This window comes from Homo sapiens, chromosome 11 (assembly GCF_000001405.40).
Source record: "Homo sapiens chromosome 11, GRCh38.p14 Primary Assembly".
In the NCBI taxonomy this organism is placed as follows: Eukaryota; Metazoa; Chordata; class Mammalia; order Primates; family Hominidae; genus Homo; species Homo sapiens.
The window spans coordinates 118,511,918-118,527,094 of NC_000011.10; the positions used below are offsets into that span (position 1 = coordinate 118,511,918).

The following is a 15,177-nucleotide window of genomic DNA, read 5'->3' on the forward strand; positions in this document are numbered from 1 at the left end:
TCTGGCTTACGGGTTTTCTTTATTTCCTTTCAGATGCCTGGAAGTCATTGACAGATAAAGTCCAGGAAGCTCGATCAAATGCCCGCCTAAAGCAGCTCTCATTTGCAGGTAATGGCTGGAGGTGTTATTCCACTCCTGTCTCAGAATATTATGGTAAATTGTTCGCCTAAGGCAGAGTTGATTCTGTGAAAAAAAAATCAGTTAAAAATTTTTTTCACAGCTTTATTGAGATTTAATTCATATACCATACAGTTCACCCATCTAAAGCATACAATTCAGTGGTTTTTAATATATTCAGAGTTGTATAACCACCACTACTCTATAATTCTAGAACATTCTCATCATCCCTAAAAGAAACCCCCTATTCATTAGCAGTCATTCCTCAGCCCCTGGCCACCACAAATCTACTTTCTGTCTCTATGTATTTGATTATTCTGGACATTTCATATAAATGAAATCAGACAATATGTAGCCTTTTGTGACCGTCTTCTTTCACTCAACAGAATACTTTCCAGGTTCTTCCCTTCTGTTACATCTTCCCTTCCACATCAGTACTTCATTCCTTTTTATTGCCAAATATTCCATTGTGTAGATATACCATATGTTGCTTATCCATTCATTAGTCAGTGGACATTTGGGTTTTTTCTATTTTCTGCTACGAATAATGTTGCCACAAATATTCATGTTCAAGTTATTGTGTAGACATGTTTTTATTTTTTTTCAGTATATACCTCAGAGTGGAATGGCTGGGTCATATGGTAACTCTTTAACTTTTTGAAGTACTGCCAGGTTTTTTTTCCAAAGTGGCTATACCATTTTACATTTCCACCTGCAATGCACGAGTGTTCCCATTTCTCCACCTTTGCCAACACTTACCTGTTTTTTGTTTTTTTTTTTTTATTTTAGACATTGTAGTGTGAAATGTTATCTTTTCTTAAAGTTGAAATCATTTACCATTGGTATTAGACTTCATATTAAATTTAGGCAGCATACAAACTTATTAATACACTTGTTTTGAGCAAACACTAAAGATTTTAATCAGTGGATGCTGTGGCTCACACCTGTAATCCCAACACTTTGGGTGACCAAGGCAGAAGGATCATTTGAGGCCAGGAGTTCAAGACCAGCCTGGGCTTCATACAGAGAATACATCTTTACAAAAAATAAAAATATATATTAGCCGGCACCGTGGCATGCACACCTGTACTCCCAGCTACTCTGGAGGCTGAGGCAGGAGGATCACTGGAGCCTAGGAGTATGAGACTGTATTAAGCTATGATCTTAGCACTGCACTCCAGCCTGAACGACAGATAAATACTTTGTCACAAAAAAAAGAAGAAGAAGAAGAAGAAGGTTTTAATTAAGCTAAGGTAGAAACCTTCCATTGACTTTGTTTTATCCATATCTACCTCTCCTACCTCCTTTCAGATTGCTCCTGGAAAGGTGGGTGAATGGGTACTTACAGGAATTTTAACTTTTTTTTTTTTAGGAATTTAATTTTATCAGTGATGTTCTTCCTTTAAGAGGGAAGGGAAGGAAAATATTTGGATGCACTTTAGAAAATACTAACATTTGTTCATTTTATGTGACAGGTACATGCATGGCTATTATAACACCCTGTGTATTTTTTTATACTTAAAATTTTTCAGAACTTTTTTAATTAAAAAAAAGAGAAAAAGACCCAACAGGCAGTTTATCTCCCACAAAATACAAATGGCCCATAGCATGAAAGGGTACTCAATCTCAGCTGGACACAGTGGCTCACACCTGAATTCCAACATCTTGGGAGGATTGTTTGAGTCTAGGAGTTCAAGACCATCCTGGGCAATAGAGTGAGACCTCATCTCTATATAAAAAAAAATTGTTTAAATTAGGCAGGCATGATGGCTCATGCCTGTGGTCCCAGCTACTTGGGAAGCTGATGTGGGAGGAGCGCATTGAGCCTGGGAGGTCAAGCCTACAGTGAGCCAAGATTATGGCACTGCACTCCAGCCTGGGTGACAGAACAAGACCCTGTCTCAAAAAAAAAAAAAAAAAAAAAGAAAAAGAAAAAAAAGTCTTGCTCATAATTTTTAAAATTCTACCCCAAAAATATAAGTCACATCCCTTTCTTTTTCTCTGACATATCCCTTGTTATTCTCTCATGCAATGTTAAAAAGCCCTATAACTGAGTCTCCTATCTCACCTCCTTGTACCCTCAGAGTCTCCAGAGGTGCCTCAAAATCTTACTATTGCCTACTAGTTACAGAGTATAATCTTCAACCCTTACGTATTTGTTATTAGTAAATATTTACTGACCACTTGTAAAATGCCTGGTACCATGTTAAACACAGGATACAGTCGCTGAGTAGCGACCCAGCCCTGCTCTTTGAGGTTTCCTGTCTACGGATCCTTACATGGCGAGGTCCTCTTCAGCCGGATTCATCTGTTCAGTCTCAGCTTTCCCCACTTCCCTCACTGCTCAAGATTCTTTGTTCTGCAGCCACACTACACTATTTACTGTTCCAGATCCATCCATGTGTCTTTTTTTTTTTTTTCTCCAAGACAGAGTCTTACTCTGTCACCCAGGCTGGAGTGCAGTGGCGTGATCTCGGCTCACTGCAACCTCCATCTCCCAGGTTCAGGTGATTCTCCTGCTTCAGCCTCCTGAGTAGCTGGGACTACAGGCGCATGCTACCACACCCGGCTATTTTTTGTATTATTATTATTTTTTTATTTTTATTTTTATTTTTTGAGACAGAGTTTCTTTCCTGTTGCCCAGGCTGGAGTGCAATGGCGCAATCTCGGTTCACCGCAACCTCCACCTCCCGAATTCAAGCGATTCTCCTGCCTCAGCCTCCCGAGTAGCTGGGATTACAGGCATGTGCCACCATGCCTGGCTAATTTTGTATTTTTAGTAGAGTCAGGGTTTCTCCATCTTGGTAAGGCTGGTCTTGAACTCCTGACCTCAGGTAATCTGCCCGCCTCAGCCTCCCAAAGTGCTGGGATTACAGGCGTGAGCCACCACGCCCGGCCTAATTTTTGTATTTTTAGTAGAGACGGGGTTTCACCGTGCTGGTCAGGCTACTCTAGAACTCCTGAGCTTGTGATCTGCCCACCTCGGCCTCCCAAAGTGCTGGGATCACAGGCGTGAGCCACTGTGCCCGGCCCATCCATGTGTCTTAAAGTGTAGCCTATAGGTGTGAATCAGAATCCCTGGGCTTGGAGCTGAGAAAGCTGAATTTTTAACATGTGCCCCCAAGCAATTCTTATTACTTACCCTAAATGTGCTTTCATATCAGCATAACATGGTTGATGCAGTTCCCTCCACCAGGACCTATTTCCTCCATCTACTCTCTTCCCTCCAAATTCCCTGGTTTACACAACAAACTCCTGTTAATCCTTTAAGACTTTGCTCAAGGTCACCTCTTTTCTTTAACCTTTTTTGATCATTCTTCCTGTGCCTACGGAAATCCCAACTCTTAACTGATTTAAAGAGTGAGATAATTTATCATCTTATATAACAGAAAGTCCAGAGGTAGGGACAGACGTGTCAGGATTGATTGGTACAGGAGCTTGCAATGTCATCAAATACCTAGATTCTTTTCTTCTTTCCACTTTACGATCTATAGTAAAACTTCATCTTCAAGCTGATAGCAAATGGCTGCAGCAGTTCCCACAATAACATTCAGTCATCACAGTGTTCAGAGGAACAGGAGAGGCTTAGGAACAAATGGACATCTCACAGACCAGAATTTGGTACCATGTCCATTTCTTTTTCTGTCCTTTTTTTTTTTTTTTTTTTTTTGAGACAGGGTCTCACACTGTTGCCCAGGCTGGAGTGTGTAGTGGTGCAATCTTGGCTCACTGCAACCTCCGCCTCCCGGGTTCAAGCAATACTCCTGCCTCAGCCTCCCGAGTAGCTGGGACTACAGGTACACGCCACCACACCCAGCTAATTTTTGTATTTTAGTAGAGACGGGATTTCACCATGTTGGCCAGGATGGTCTCGAACTTCTGACCTCAGGTAATCTACCCACCTTGGCCTCCCAAAGCGCTGAGAGTACAGGTACCCAGCCCCATGTCCATTTCTAAGCCAGTCTCTGGCAAAGGGACTGGGATTCCCAGGATTGTCTTAGATTAATCATCTGGGGTGGAAGGTTTAGCCTGGAGGTTAACCACAATGACCCTTGTGTTCCCCAGTCCAAAACCTGTCCATTATACTCCATTTCCAGTGCTGCCACCTTGTCCTTACCCTCATGCCCTTATATTCTAGTGGTGTATATGTATATGTAAGTACCATGAAGAAGATAACATGGGGAAATGAAATAGAGAGTGACACAGAGGTGGGTAGTTGGTGACAGGAAATCTGGAATCTCTTGATGAGGCAACATTTGAGCTTAGACCTGAGTGATGATGAGAAGAAGCCAATCATGCATATACATAAAGCGAAAGTCCTCGAGGCAAGCTAGAAGGCTGAGGAAGGAGAGTTTGAGCTTATAGTGTGCCAAGATCATACCTGTGAATAGCCACGGCACCAGCTGAGCAACACAGTGAAACTCTCTTAAAAAAAATTAAATTAAATTAACTATGTTTTCTAAAGTCCTGACACAGAGGAAACAGCAGATGAAAAAGTCCTGAAGTGGGAATATCTTTGATGTGTTTATTGTCTGTCTCTTCCATGAAGTAAAAGCTCTATGAATACAGGTACCTTGCCTGTCTTGCTCACCTGTAAGTTCCTAAGGTCCTGTCTGGCACAGTGGAAAGATGGAAAGAGTGCCTGGGATATTTTAGGTGTGCTGTAAATATTTATTGAATGAATAAATGAGTCTCCCACAAGCAGAACAGATTGTTCCTTCTTAAGAGTTCCCATAGTACTTTATATTATACCTTAATTTGGACACCTGCACATTGCATGGTTTGTATACGTCTCTGCCTTCCTCTGCTGTGAGCTCCTTAAGAACAGACGGGGGCCCACACATAATGCATCTTTGTTTTCCCATTATCAACACAATATTAATCTCATTGTAATCTCTCTGGTGAGTGAGAGTTGAACATTCAGTGTACATATTAAAAGGAACTTTCTGTGAAAATATACTTGAGTATGTAGTATGTTTTTCAATGTCTTTTTTTTTTAACCTAAGAATTCACAGCAATCTAGAACTTCCAGGAAAAAATTATTAAGGAAAATTAGTGGTCTGTAGAAAAGAGTTTGCCAGCTGGGCGCGGTGGCTCACGCCTGTAATCCCATCACTTTGGGAGGCTGAGGTGGGCAGATCACGAGGTCAGGAGATCGACACCATCCTGGCTAACACAGTGAAACCCCGTCTCTACTAAAAAATACAAAAAATTAGCCAGGCGTGGTGGCGGGCGCCTGTAGTCCCAGCTACTCGGGAGGCTGAGGCAGCAGAATGGTGTGAACCCAGGAGGCAGAGCTTGCAGTGAGCCAAGATCGCACCACTGTACTCCAGCCTGGGCGACAGGGTGAGACTCTGTCTCAAAAAAAAAAAAAAAAAGAAAAGAAAAGAAAAAAGAGTTTGCCATTGCCTTATATGGCTTAAGTTCTTATCTTATACAGTTGTGTTACATAGTGTTACATACCTAAGCCAAATTCTTAAGGGACCAACAGTTGTGATCATAAGAATGTCACTTATCAGGGGCCAGTGCAGTGGCTCACACCTGTAATCCTACCTAGCAAGTTGGGAGGCCAAGGAAGGAGGATCACTCGAGGCCAGGAGTTCAAGATCAGCCTGGGCAACACAGTAAGACCCTGTCTCCACAAGAAATTTAAAAATTAGCCAAACACAGTGGCATATATGCCTGTAGTCCCAGCTACCTGGGAGGCTGAGGCGGGAGCAGCTTGAGCCCAGAAATTCAAGGTTACAGTGAGCTATGATCATGCTACTGCACTCCAGCCTGGGCAACAAAGTGAAACCTGTCTCTTAGAAAAAGAATATTGCTTATCTAGAGACAACATTCTTTTTGTTTGTTTGTTTGTTTGTTTTTGAGATGAGGTCTCACTCTGTTGCCCAAGCTGGAGTGCAGTGGCATGATCGTCTGCTTTTTCATCTGCTATTTCCTCTGCACCAGGACATTACACCAAGGTTACATCTCTAAATATGCTTCATAATGCAAACTGTATGTCTGTTGGAATTGCATATGTGCAATTGCAGTCCTAATACAATTACACTTATGAAATGGATACCTGATCCAAAATTAACACCATTACTGTTTCTATATCTATTAATAATACCAAACCAGTATTCGTAAATGAAATAATATTGTTTACTTAATAAAAATGTAAAGAACATTAGCTATTTGCTAGTGTCAAAAAGAAGTGTGGCAGTTGTAATTGTGCCCTGTCCCTTTAATGGAAAAAGCCAAATAATTTTAAAATGAAAGCCTTTCACCATCAATGCCAGCAGACTTATATAAATGTTGTTTTCATAAAATAAAAATAAATAAAAAATGCTCATTAACAGCATGAGACGGTGAGTAGAACAAAGCAGCTACTGAGTGTATTACTCCACACATTCATCATAACAACACAAGAGTTCTGTGTTAGGGGTGTATTAACATTGCTTTTAAACTTTAGTGAGGCTGGCTGGGTGCTGTGGCTCACACCTGTAATCCCAGCACTTTGGGAAGCTGAGGCAGGTGGATCACCTGAGGTCAGGAGTTTAAGACCAGCCTGGCCAATATGGTGAAACCTTGTCTCTACTAAAAATACAAAAAAATTAGCTGGGCATGGTGACGTGCCCCTGTAGTCCCAGCTACTTGGGAGGCTGAGGCAGGAGAATTGCTTGAACCCAGGAGGTGGAGTTGTAGCGAGCTGAGATCGGACCACTGCACTCCAGCCTGGGTGACGGAGTTAGAGTCTGTCTCAAAAAAAAAAAAAAAGCCGGGCGCGGTGGCTCACACCTGTAATCCCAGCATTTTGGAAGGCCAAGGCGGGTGGATCACGAGGTCAGGAGATCGAGACCATCCTGGCTAACATGGTGAAACTCCGTCTCTACTAAAAATACGAAAAAAATTAGCCAGGCGTGGTGGCGGCGCCCGTAGTCCCAGCTACTCGGGAGGCTGAGGTAGGAGAATGGCGTGAACCCGGGAGGTGGAGCTTGCAGTGAGCTGAGATCATGCCACTGCACTCCAGCCTGGGTGGCAGAGTGAGACTCCATCTCAAAAAAAAAAAAAAAAAAAAAAGAAAATTAAACTTTAGTGAGGTATCTGGGGGAACATAAGCTTATAGAACCTAGATAATCCATTCCTAGATGGATTATATTTGTAGTTATGCAGTCCAGAGTTCATATCTTGTCAAATCATGTAGCCTTGGGAGTGTTACATCAGTTCTCTAAGCCTGTTTGCTCACCTGAAAATGAAGCTAGTAATTCCTGCCCTGTGTGGTCATTATGAGCACGAAATGAAATAACACGTGTATATAGCATTAGCATATAGCATTTCTGTGTAATAAAGCAAAATAGTCCATAGTTTGGTGGCATGCTTTTTTCACTTAGCCGTCTATCACAAACATTTTCCATATTGATAGATCTGTATCAGCATCATTTTAATGGCTATCTGATGCTAATTTCGAGCTAATATGTACTATAATTCACCCTGGAGCAGCCTCTGGCAGAGTGACTATAGCATAGGCATTTCTGTAGGACCATGCTGTTTCCTGTTGACTGCGCTCCTCACTTCCCTGGTGCTTCTGATTCTTCTAGGTGTTAACGGTTTGAGGATGCTGGGGATTCTCCATGATGCAGTTGTGTTCCTCATTGAGCAGCTGTCTGGTGCCAAGCACTGTCGAAATTACAAATTCCGTTTCCACAAGCCAGAGGAGGCCAATGAACCCCCCTTGAACCCTCACGGCTCAGCCAGGGCTGAAGTCCACCTCAGGCAAGTTCCCTTCTTTTCTGTCAGCAGTTTTGGGTCTCGATTTTCTTATCTCATGACACTGTCATCTTCCCACATACCCTTTGAGATTTCCAGTTTTAATGCCATCATCCTTTACTGCTTTATTAAAGCATTTCTCTAAATATGTTTTAATCTTTTGGCCCCAGGAAGTCAGCATTTGACATGTTTAACTTCCTGGCTTCTAAACATCGTCAGCCTCCTGAATACAACCCCAATGATGAAGAAGAGGAGGAGGTACAGCTGAAGTCAGCTCGGTAAGTCTTGAGTGGGGAGCAGTCATTAGAAACTGCTTTCCCTCTCCTCCAGCTGGTCAGGGCACTACGTAGGAATTTGTTTGCATCAGAATTTCCTGGATAAGATTTAAAAGGACTGAAAACCATTTGTGTTGAAGTAGCAGTAGGTGCCTGGTAAGGAGTGAGGAATATAAGGTACAGAGGAGAAATTCAAAGAACTGTAAGATGCCTGTTTTCTTTAATGATAGTATACTCTGTCAGCTTTGGTTGTACCACCATAGTTGTCATGGTCAGAAAGTACTATATATACTAAAAATGGGACTCATTGGCCAGGCACAGTGGCTCATGCCTGTAATTCCAGCACTTTGGAAGTCCGAGGCGGACAGATCATGAGGTCAGGAGTTCGAGACCAGCCTGACCAACATAGTGAAACCCTATCTCTACTAAAAATACAAAAATTAGCCCGGCGTGGTGGCGCGCGCCTGTAGTCCCACCTACTCAGCAGGCTGAGGCAAGAGAATCGCTTGAACCCAGGAGGCGGAGGTTACAGTGAGCCGAGATCGCACCACTGGACTCCAGCCTGGGCGACAGAGCGAAACTCCATCTCAAAAAAAAAAGGGGGGCGCTCATTTTATAAGGCACTCGTTCAGTTTGGCATTAAACAAAGAGTGTACTAATTGTCTCTAGGAACCTTCGATTCAAGACTCAAAACATTATTTCCTGAAAAAAATTCGTTAATAGTATGTCTTATCTCTTAGGAGGGCAACTAGCATGGATCTGCCAATGCCCATGCGCTTCCGGCACTTAAAAAAGACTTCTAAGGAGGCAGTTGGTGTCTACAGGTATGACTAAAATTCTAGAAAGAATTACAGAAAACGAATGCAGTTTTTCAAAATCAAAGCAGACCAAATGCTGGAGTGACCTTCCTCACTCAGTAAGTGAGGATTTTACGGACACTATTTATTGACCCTCATATCCTGGGATCCTGCACCTCCTTGTGTTGAACAAGGACTTTAACATAATAAGCATTAAAATATTACTGCTTCCAGCGGGTCACAGAATGGAAATAACTTTCATCTTTGGCCATGTGTTAGATGGCCAAATCAAGTGGGTCCAAATTTTTATTTTCTCAAGTATATGTCCCTCCTGGGGAACTAACAGACCAGGAGAACTTATTCATGTATTCACGCACTTAACCTTACTTGCAAAATTTGTGTCTGACCTCTTTTCCATCTTTGTCCTAGGTCTCCCATCCATGGCCGGGGTCTTTTCTGTAAGAGAAACATTGATGCAGGTGAGATGGTGATTGAGTATGCCGGCAACGTCATCCGCTCCATCCAGACTGACAAGCGGGAAAAGTATTACGACAGCAAGGTAAGTCTCCCACTTGCACTCACACAGTTCTTTTGTTTTGCTGTAGAAAGGGACCAGTATGACCCCTGGATCACAAAAGAAATAGTGTATGTTATCAATTCAGAGACCTTTCTTAAAAAAATAAACTCTGAAATTTGTGAGGGGCCCAGTAAAAATACAGAATCCACTCTGAGGATTAGTACAGAAAGTTGCTCTTAGAAGGTTTGTCTGAGTGGCTCCTAGTATCAGAAGCAAATAGCTATACAAGTTTTAGGTTTCTCTCTCCTGCAGAGACATTAGAAACCTCTAGACTAGTGGCCTGTAATCTAGGAAATCCTCGTGGAAGCATCTTGAAAGATAGTACTGGGAGAAATCTGGAAATTTTACTAGAAGAAACTTTCTCAGCCGCTATAGGTAACATCAAGAGAAGATTGGGACATGTTCTTAAAGCTGAGTTTATAAGAAATGACAAGTTCTTCTCCCTTCTTCTGCATGTGCAGGGCATTGGTTGCTATATGTTCCGAATTGATGACTCAGAGGTAGTGGATGCCACCATGCATGGAAATGCTGCACGCTTCATCAATCACTCGTGTGAGCCTAACTGCTATTCTCGGGTCATCAATATTGATGGGCAGAAGCACATTGTCATCTTTGCCATGCGTAAGATCTACCGAGGAGAGGAACTCACTTACGACTATAAGTTCCCCATTGAGGATGCCAGCAACAAGCTGCCCTGCAACTGTGGCGCCAAGAAATGCCGGAAGTTCCTAAACTAAAGCTGCTCTTCTCCCCCAGTGTTGGAGTGCAAGGAGGCGGGGCCATCCAAAGCAACGCTGAAGGCCTTTTCCAGCAGCTGGGAGCTCCCGGATTGCGTGGCACAGCTGAGGGGCCTCTGTGATGGCTGAGCTCTCTTATGTCCTATACTCACATCAGACATGTGATCATAGTCCCAGAGACAGAGTTGAGGTCTCGAAGAAAAGATCCATGATCGGCTTTCTCCTGGGGCCCCTCCAATTGTTTACTGTTAGAAAGTGGGAATGGGGTCCCTAGCAGACTTGCCTGGAAGGAGCCTATTATAGAGGGTTGGTTATGTTGGGAGATTGGGCCTGAATTTCTCCACAGAAATAAGTTGCCATCCTCAGGTTGGCCCTTTCCCAAGCACTGTAAGTGAGTGGGTCAGGCAAAGCCCCAAATGGAGGGTTGGTTAGATTCCTGACAGTTTGCCAGCCAGGCCCCACCTACAGCGTCTGTCGAACAAACAGAGGTCTGGTGGTTTTCCCTACTATCCTCCCACTCGAGAGTTCACTTCTGGTTGGGAGACAGGATTCCTAGCACCTCCGGTGTCAAAAGGCTGTCATGGGGTTGTGCCAATTAATTACCAAACATTGAGCCTGCAGGCTTTGAGTGGGAGTGTTGCCCCCAGGAGCCTTATCTCAGCCAATTACCTTTCTTGACAGTAGGAGCGGCTTCCCTCTCCCATTCCCTCTTCACTCCCTTTTCTTCCTTTCCCCTGTCTTCATGCCACTGCTTTCCCATGCTTCTTTCGGGTTGTAGGGGAGACTGACTGCCTGCTCAAGGACACTCCCTGCTGGGCATAGGATGTGCCTGCAAAAAGTTCCCTGAGCCTGTAAGCACTCCAGGTGGGGAAGTGGACAGGAGCCATTGGTCATAACCAGACAGAATTTGGAAACATTTTCATAAAGCTCCATGGAGAGTTTTAAAGAAACATATGTAGCATGATTTTGTAGGAGAGGAAAAAGATTATTTAAATAGGATTTAAATCATGCAACAACGAGAGTATCACAGCCAGGATGACCCTTGGGTCCCATTCCTAAGACATGGTTACTTTATTTTCCCCTTGTTAAGACATAGGAAGACTTAATTTTTAAACGGTCAGTGTCCAGTTGAAGGCAGAACACTAATCAGATTTCAAGGCCCACAACTTGGGGACTAGACCACCTTATGTTGAGGGAACTCTGCCACCTGCGTGCAACCCACAGCTAAAGTAAATTCAATGACACTACTGCCCTGATTACTCCTTAGGATGTGGTCAAAACAGCATCAAATGTTTCTTCTCTTCCTTTCCCCAAGACAGAGTCCTGAACCTGTTAAATTAAGTCATTGGATTTTACTCTGTTCTGTTTACAGTTTACTATTTAAGGTTTTATAAATGTAAATATATTTTGTATATTTTTCTATGAGAAGCACTTCATAGGGAGAAGCACTTATGACAAGGCTATTTTTTAAACCGCGGTATTATCCTAATTTAAAAGAAGATCGGTTTTTAATAATTTTTTATTTTCATAGGATGAAGTTAGAGAAAATATTCAGCTGTACACACAAAGTCTGGTTTTTCCTGCCCAACTTCCCCCTGGAAGGTGTACTTTTTGTTGTTTAATGTGTAGCTTGTTTGTGCCCTGTTGACATAAATGTTTCCTGGGTTTGCTCTTTGACAATAAATGGAGAAGGAAGGTCACCCAACTCCATTGGGCCACTCCCCTCCTTCCCCTATTGAAGCTCCTCAAAAGGCTACAGTAATATCTTGATACAACAGATTCTCTTCTTTCCCGCCTCTCTCCTTTCCGGCGCAACTTCCAGAGTGGTGGGAGACGGCAATCTTTACATTTCCCTCATCTTTCTTACTTCAGAGTTAGCAAACAACAAGTTGAATGGCAACTTGACATTTTTGCATCACCATCTGCCTCATAGGCCACTCTTTCCTTTCCCTCTGCCCACCAAGTCCTCATATCTGCAGAGAACCCATTGATCACCTTGTGCCCTCTTTTGGGGCAGCCTGTTGAAACTGAAGCACAGTCTGACCACTCACGATAAAGCAGATTTTTCTCTGCCTCTGCCACAAGGTTTCAGAGTAGTGTAGTCCAAGTAGAGGGTGGGGCACCCTTTTCTCGCCGCAAGAAGCCCATTCCTATGGAAGTCTAGCAAAGCAATACGACTCAGCCCAGCACTCTCTGCCCCAGGACTCATGGCTCTGCTGTGCCTTCCATCCTGGGCTCCCTTCTCTCCTGTGACCTTAAGAACTTTGTCTGGTGGCTTTGCTGGAACATTGTCACTGTTTTCACTGTCATGCAGGGAGCCCAGCACTGTGGCCAGGATGGCAGAGACTTCCTTGTCATCATGGAGAAGTGCCAGCAGGGGACTGGGAAAAGCACTCTACCCAGACCTCACCTCCCTTCCTCCTTTTGCCCATGAACAAGATGCAGTGGCCCTAGGGGTTCCACTAGTGTCTGCTTTCCTTTATTATTGCACTGTGTGAGGTTTTTTTGTAAATCCTTGTATTCCTATTTTTTTTAAAGAAAAAAAAAAAACCTTAAGCTGCATTTGTTACTGAAATGATTAATGCACTGATGGGTCCTGAATTCACCTTGAGAAAGACCCAAAGGCCAGTCAGGGGGTGGGGGGAACTCAGCTAAATAGACCTAGTTACTGCCCTGCTAGGCCATGCTGTACTGTGAGCCCCTCCTCACTCTCTACCAACCCTAAACCCTGAGGACAGGGGAGGAACCCACAGCTTCCTTCTCCTGCCAGCTGCAGATGGTTTGCCTTGCCTTTCCACCCCCTAATTGTCAACCACAAAAATGAGAAATTCCTCTTCTAGCTCAGCCTTGAGTCCATTGCCAAATTTTCAGCACACCTGCCAGCAACTTGGGGGAATAAGCGAAGGTTTCCCTACAAGAGGGAAAGAAGGCAAAAACGGCACAGCTATCTCCAAACACATCTGAGTTCATTTCAAAAGTGACCAAGGGAATCTCCGCACAAAAGTGCAGATTGAGGAATTGTGATGGGTCATTCCCAAGAATCCCCCAAGGGGCATCCCAAATCCCTGAGGAGTAACAGCTGCAAACCTGGTCAGTTCTCAGTGAGAGCCAGCTCACTTATAGCTTTGCTGCTAGAACCTGTTGTGGCTGCATTTCCTGGTGGCCAGTGACAACTGTGTAACCAGAATAGCTGCATGGCGCTGACCCTTTGGCCGGAACTTGGTCTCTTGGCTCCCTCCTTGGCCACCCACCACCTCTCGCACAGCCCCTCTGTTTTTACACCAATAACAAGAATTAAGGGGGAAGCCCTGGCAGCTATACGTTTTCAACCAGACTCCTTTGCCGGGACCCAGCCCGCCACCCTGCTCGCCTCCGTCAAACCCCCGGCCAATGCAGTGAGCACCATGTAGCTCCCTTGATTTAAAAAAAATAAAAAATAAAAAAAAAAGGAAAAAAAAATACAACACACACACAAAAATAAAAAAAATATTCTAATGAATGTATCTTTCTAAAGGACTGACGTTCAATCAAATATCTGAAAATACTAAAGGTCAAAACCTTGTCAGATGTTAACTTCTAAGTTCGGTTTGGGATTTTTTTTTTTTAATAGAAATCAAGTTGTTTTTGTTTTTAAGGAAAAGCGGGTCATTGCAAAGGGCTGGGTGTAATTTTATGTTTCATTTCCTTCATTTTAAAGCAATACAAGGTTATGGAGCAGATGGTTTTGTGCCGAATCATGAATACTAGTCAAGTCACACACTCTGGAAACTTGCAACTTTTTGTTTGTTTTGGTTTTCAAATAAATATAAATATGATATATATAGGAACTAATATAGTAATGCACCATGTAACAAAGCCTAGTTCAGTCCATGGCTTTTAATTCTCTTAACACTATAGATAAGGATTGTGTTACAGTTGCTAGTAGCGGCAGGAAGATGTCAGGCTCACTTTCCTCTGATTCCCGAAATGGGGGGAACCTCTAACCATAAAGGAATGGTAGAACAGTCCATTCCTCGGATCAGAGAAAAATGCAGACATGGTGTCACCTGGATTTTTTTCTGCCCATGAATGTTGCCAGTCAGTACCTGTCCTCCTTGTTTCTCTATTTTTGGTTATGAATGTTGGGGTTACCACCTGCATTTAGGGGAAAATTGTGTTCTGTGCTTTCCTGGTATCTTGTTCCGAGGTACTCTAGTTCTGTCTTTCAACCAAGAAAATAGAATTGTGGTGTTTCTTTTATTGAACTTTTAACAGTCTCTTTAGTAAATACAGGTAGTTGAATAATTGTTTCAAGAGCTCAACAGATGACAAGCTTCTTTTCTAGAAATAAGACATTTTTTGACAACTTTATCATGTATAACAGATCTGTTTTTTTTCCTTGTGTTCTTCCAAGCTTCTGGTTAGAGAAAAAGAGAAAAAAAAAAAAGGAAAATGTGTCTAAAGTCCATCAGTGTTAACTCCCTGTGACAGGGATGAAGGAAAATACTTTAATAGTTCAAAAAATAATAATGCTGAAAGCTCTCTACGAAAGACTGAATGTAAAAGTAAAAAGTGTACATAGTTGTAAAAAAAAGGAGTTTTTAAACATGTTTATTTTCTATGCACTTTTTTTTATTTAAGTGATAGTTTAATTAATAAACATGTCAAGTTTATTGCTGCACATGGTTAAGCTTCCTTTTGGCTTTGGTTGGAGAGGGTGGAGAAAAGCGGGAGGGGCATGGCCTGTGACCTGGTCACAAAGTACCTTCCACAGTCCTTTACTTTAAGGTGGCATCACTAAATTATTCCCTGTAGCCCACCTTCAGGTCCACTCCACACTGGCTCTCTTGACTATTTTCTTCCTTTATTCATCAGTGATGTATGTTCAGGACCTAATTAATTGTGGATATGAGGCAGGGTCAAGAGGACAAAGGAACAGGGCC

The 15,177-nt window shown here is 42.9% G+C and overlaps 1 protein-coding gene and 1 long non-coding RNA gene across 14 annotated transcripts in view; one reads left to right on the plus strand and one right to left on the minus strand.

Annotated features, from left to right (window-relative positions):
- KMT2A (lysine methyltransferase 2A) overlaps window positions 1-14,915 on the plus strand; it is a 90,341-nt gene extending 75,426 nt beyond the window's left edge. For all 9 annotated transcript variants that reach the window (XM_011542829.3, NM_001412597.1, XM_011542830.3 and 6 more), the window contains 6 exons: window positions 34-108; window positions 7,701-7,875; window positions 8,040-8,147; window positions 8,885-8,968; window positions 9,371-9,500; window positions 9,980-14,915. In XM_011542829.3, the coding sequence (XP_011541131.1) occupies window positions 34-108; window positions 7,701-7,875; window positions 8,040-8,147; window positions 8,885-8,968; window positions 9,371-9,500; window positions 9,980-10,255 (848 nt within the window). In that variant the 3' untranslated portion in view covers window positions 10,256-14,915. The remainder of the gene's footprint in view (window positions 1-33; window positions 109-7,700; window positions 7,876-8,039; window positions 8,148-8,884; window positions 8,969-9,370; window positions 9,501-9,979) is intronic.
- Window positions 1-15,177, minus strand: part of TTC36-AS1 (TTC36 and KMT2A antisense RNA 1) — a 19,177-nt gene continuing 4,000 nt past the window's right edge. For 3 of the 5 annotated variants that reach the window (NR_120576.1, NR_120573.1, NR_120572.1), the window contains 2 exons: window positions 9,349-9,397; window positions 7,468-7,779 (listed from right to left, as the gene is read on the minus strand). This is a non-coding gene — a long non-coding RNA (TTC36 and KMT2A antisense RNA 1). Of the gene's footprint in view, window positions 184-7,467; window positions 7,780-9,328; window positions 9,398-15,177 lie in introns of those variants that run through there. The other 2 variants (NR_120574.1, NR_120575.1) reach the window with 2 other exon arrangements.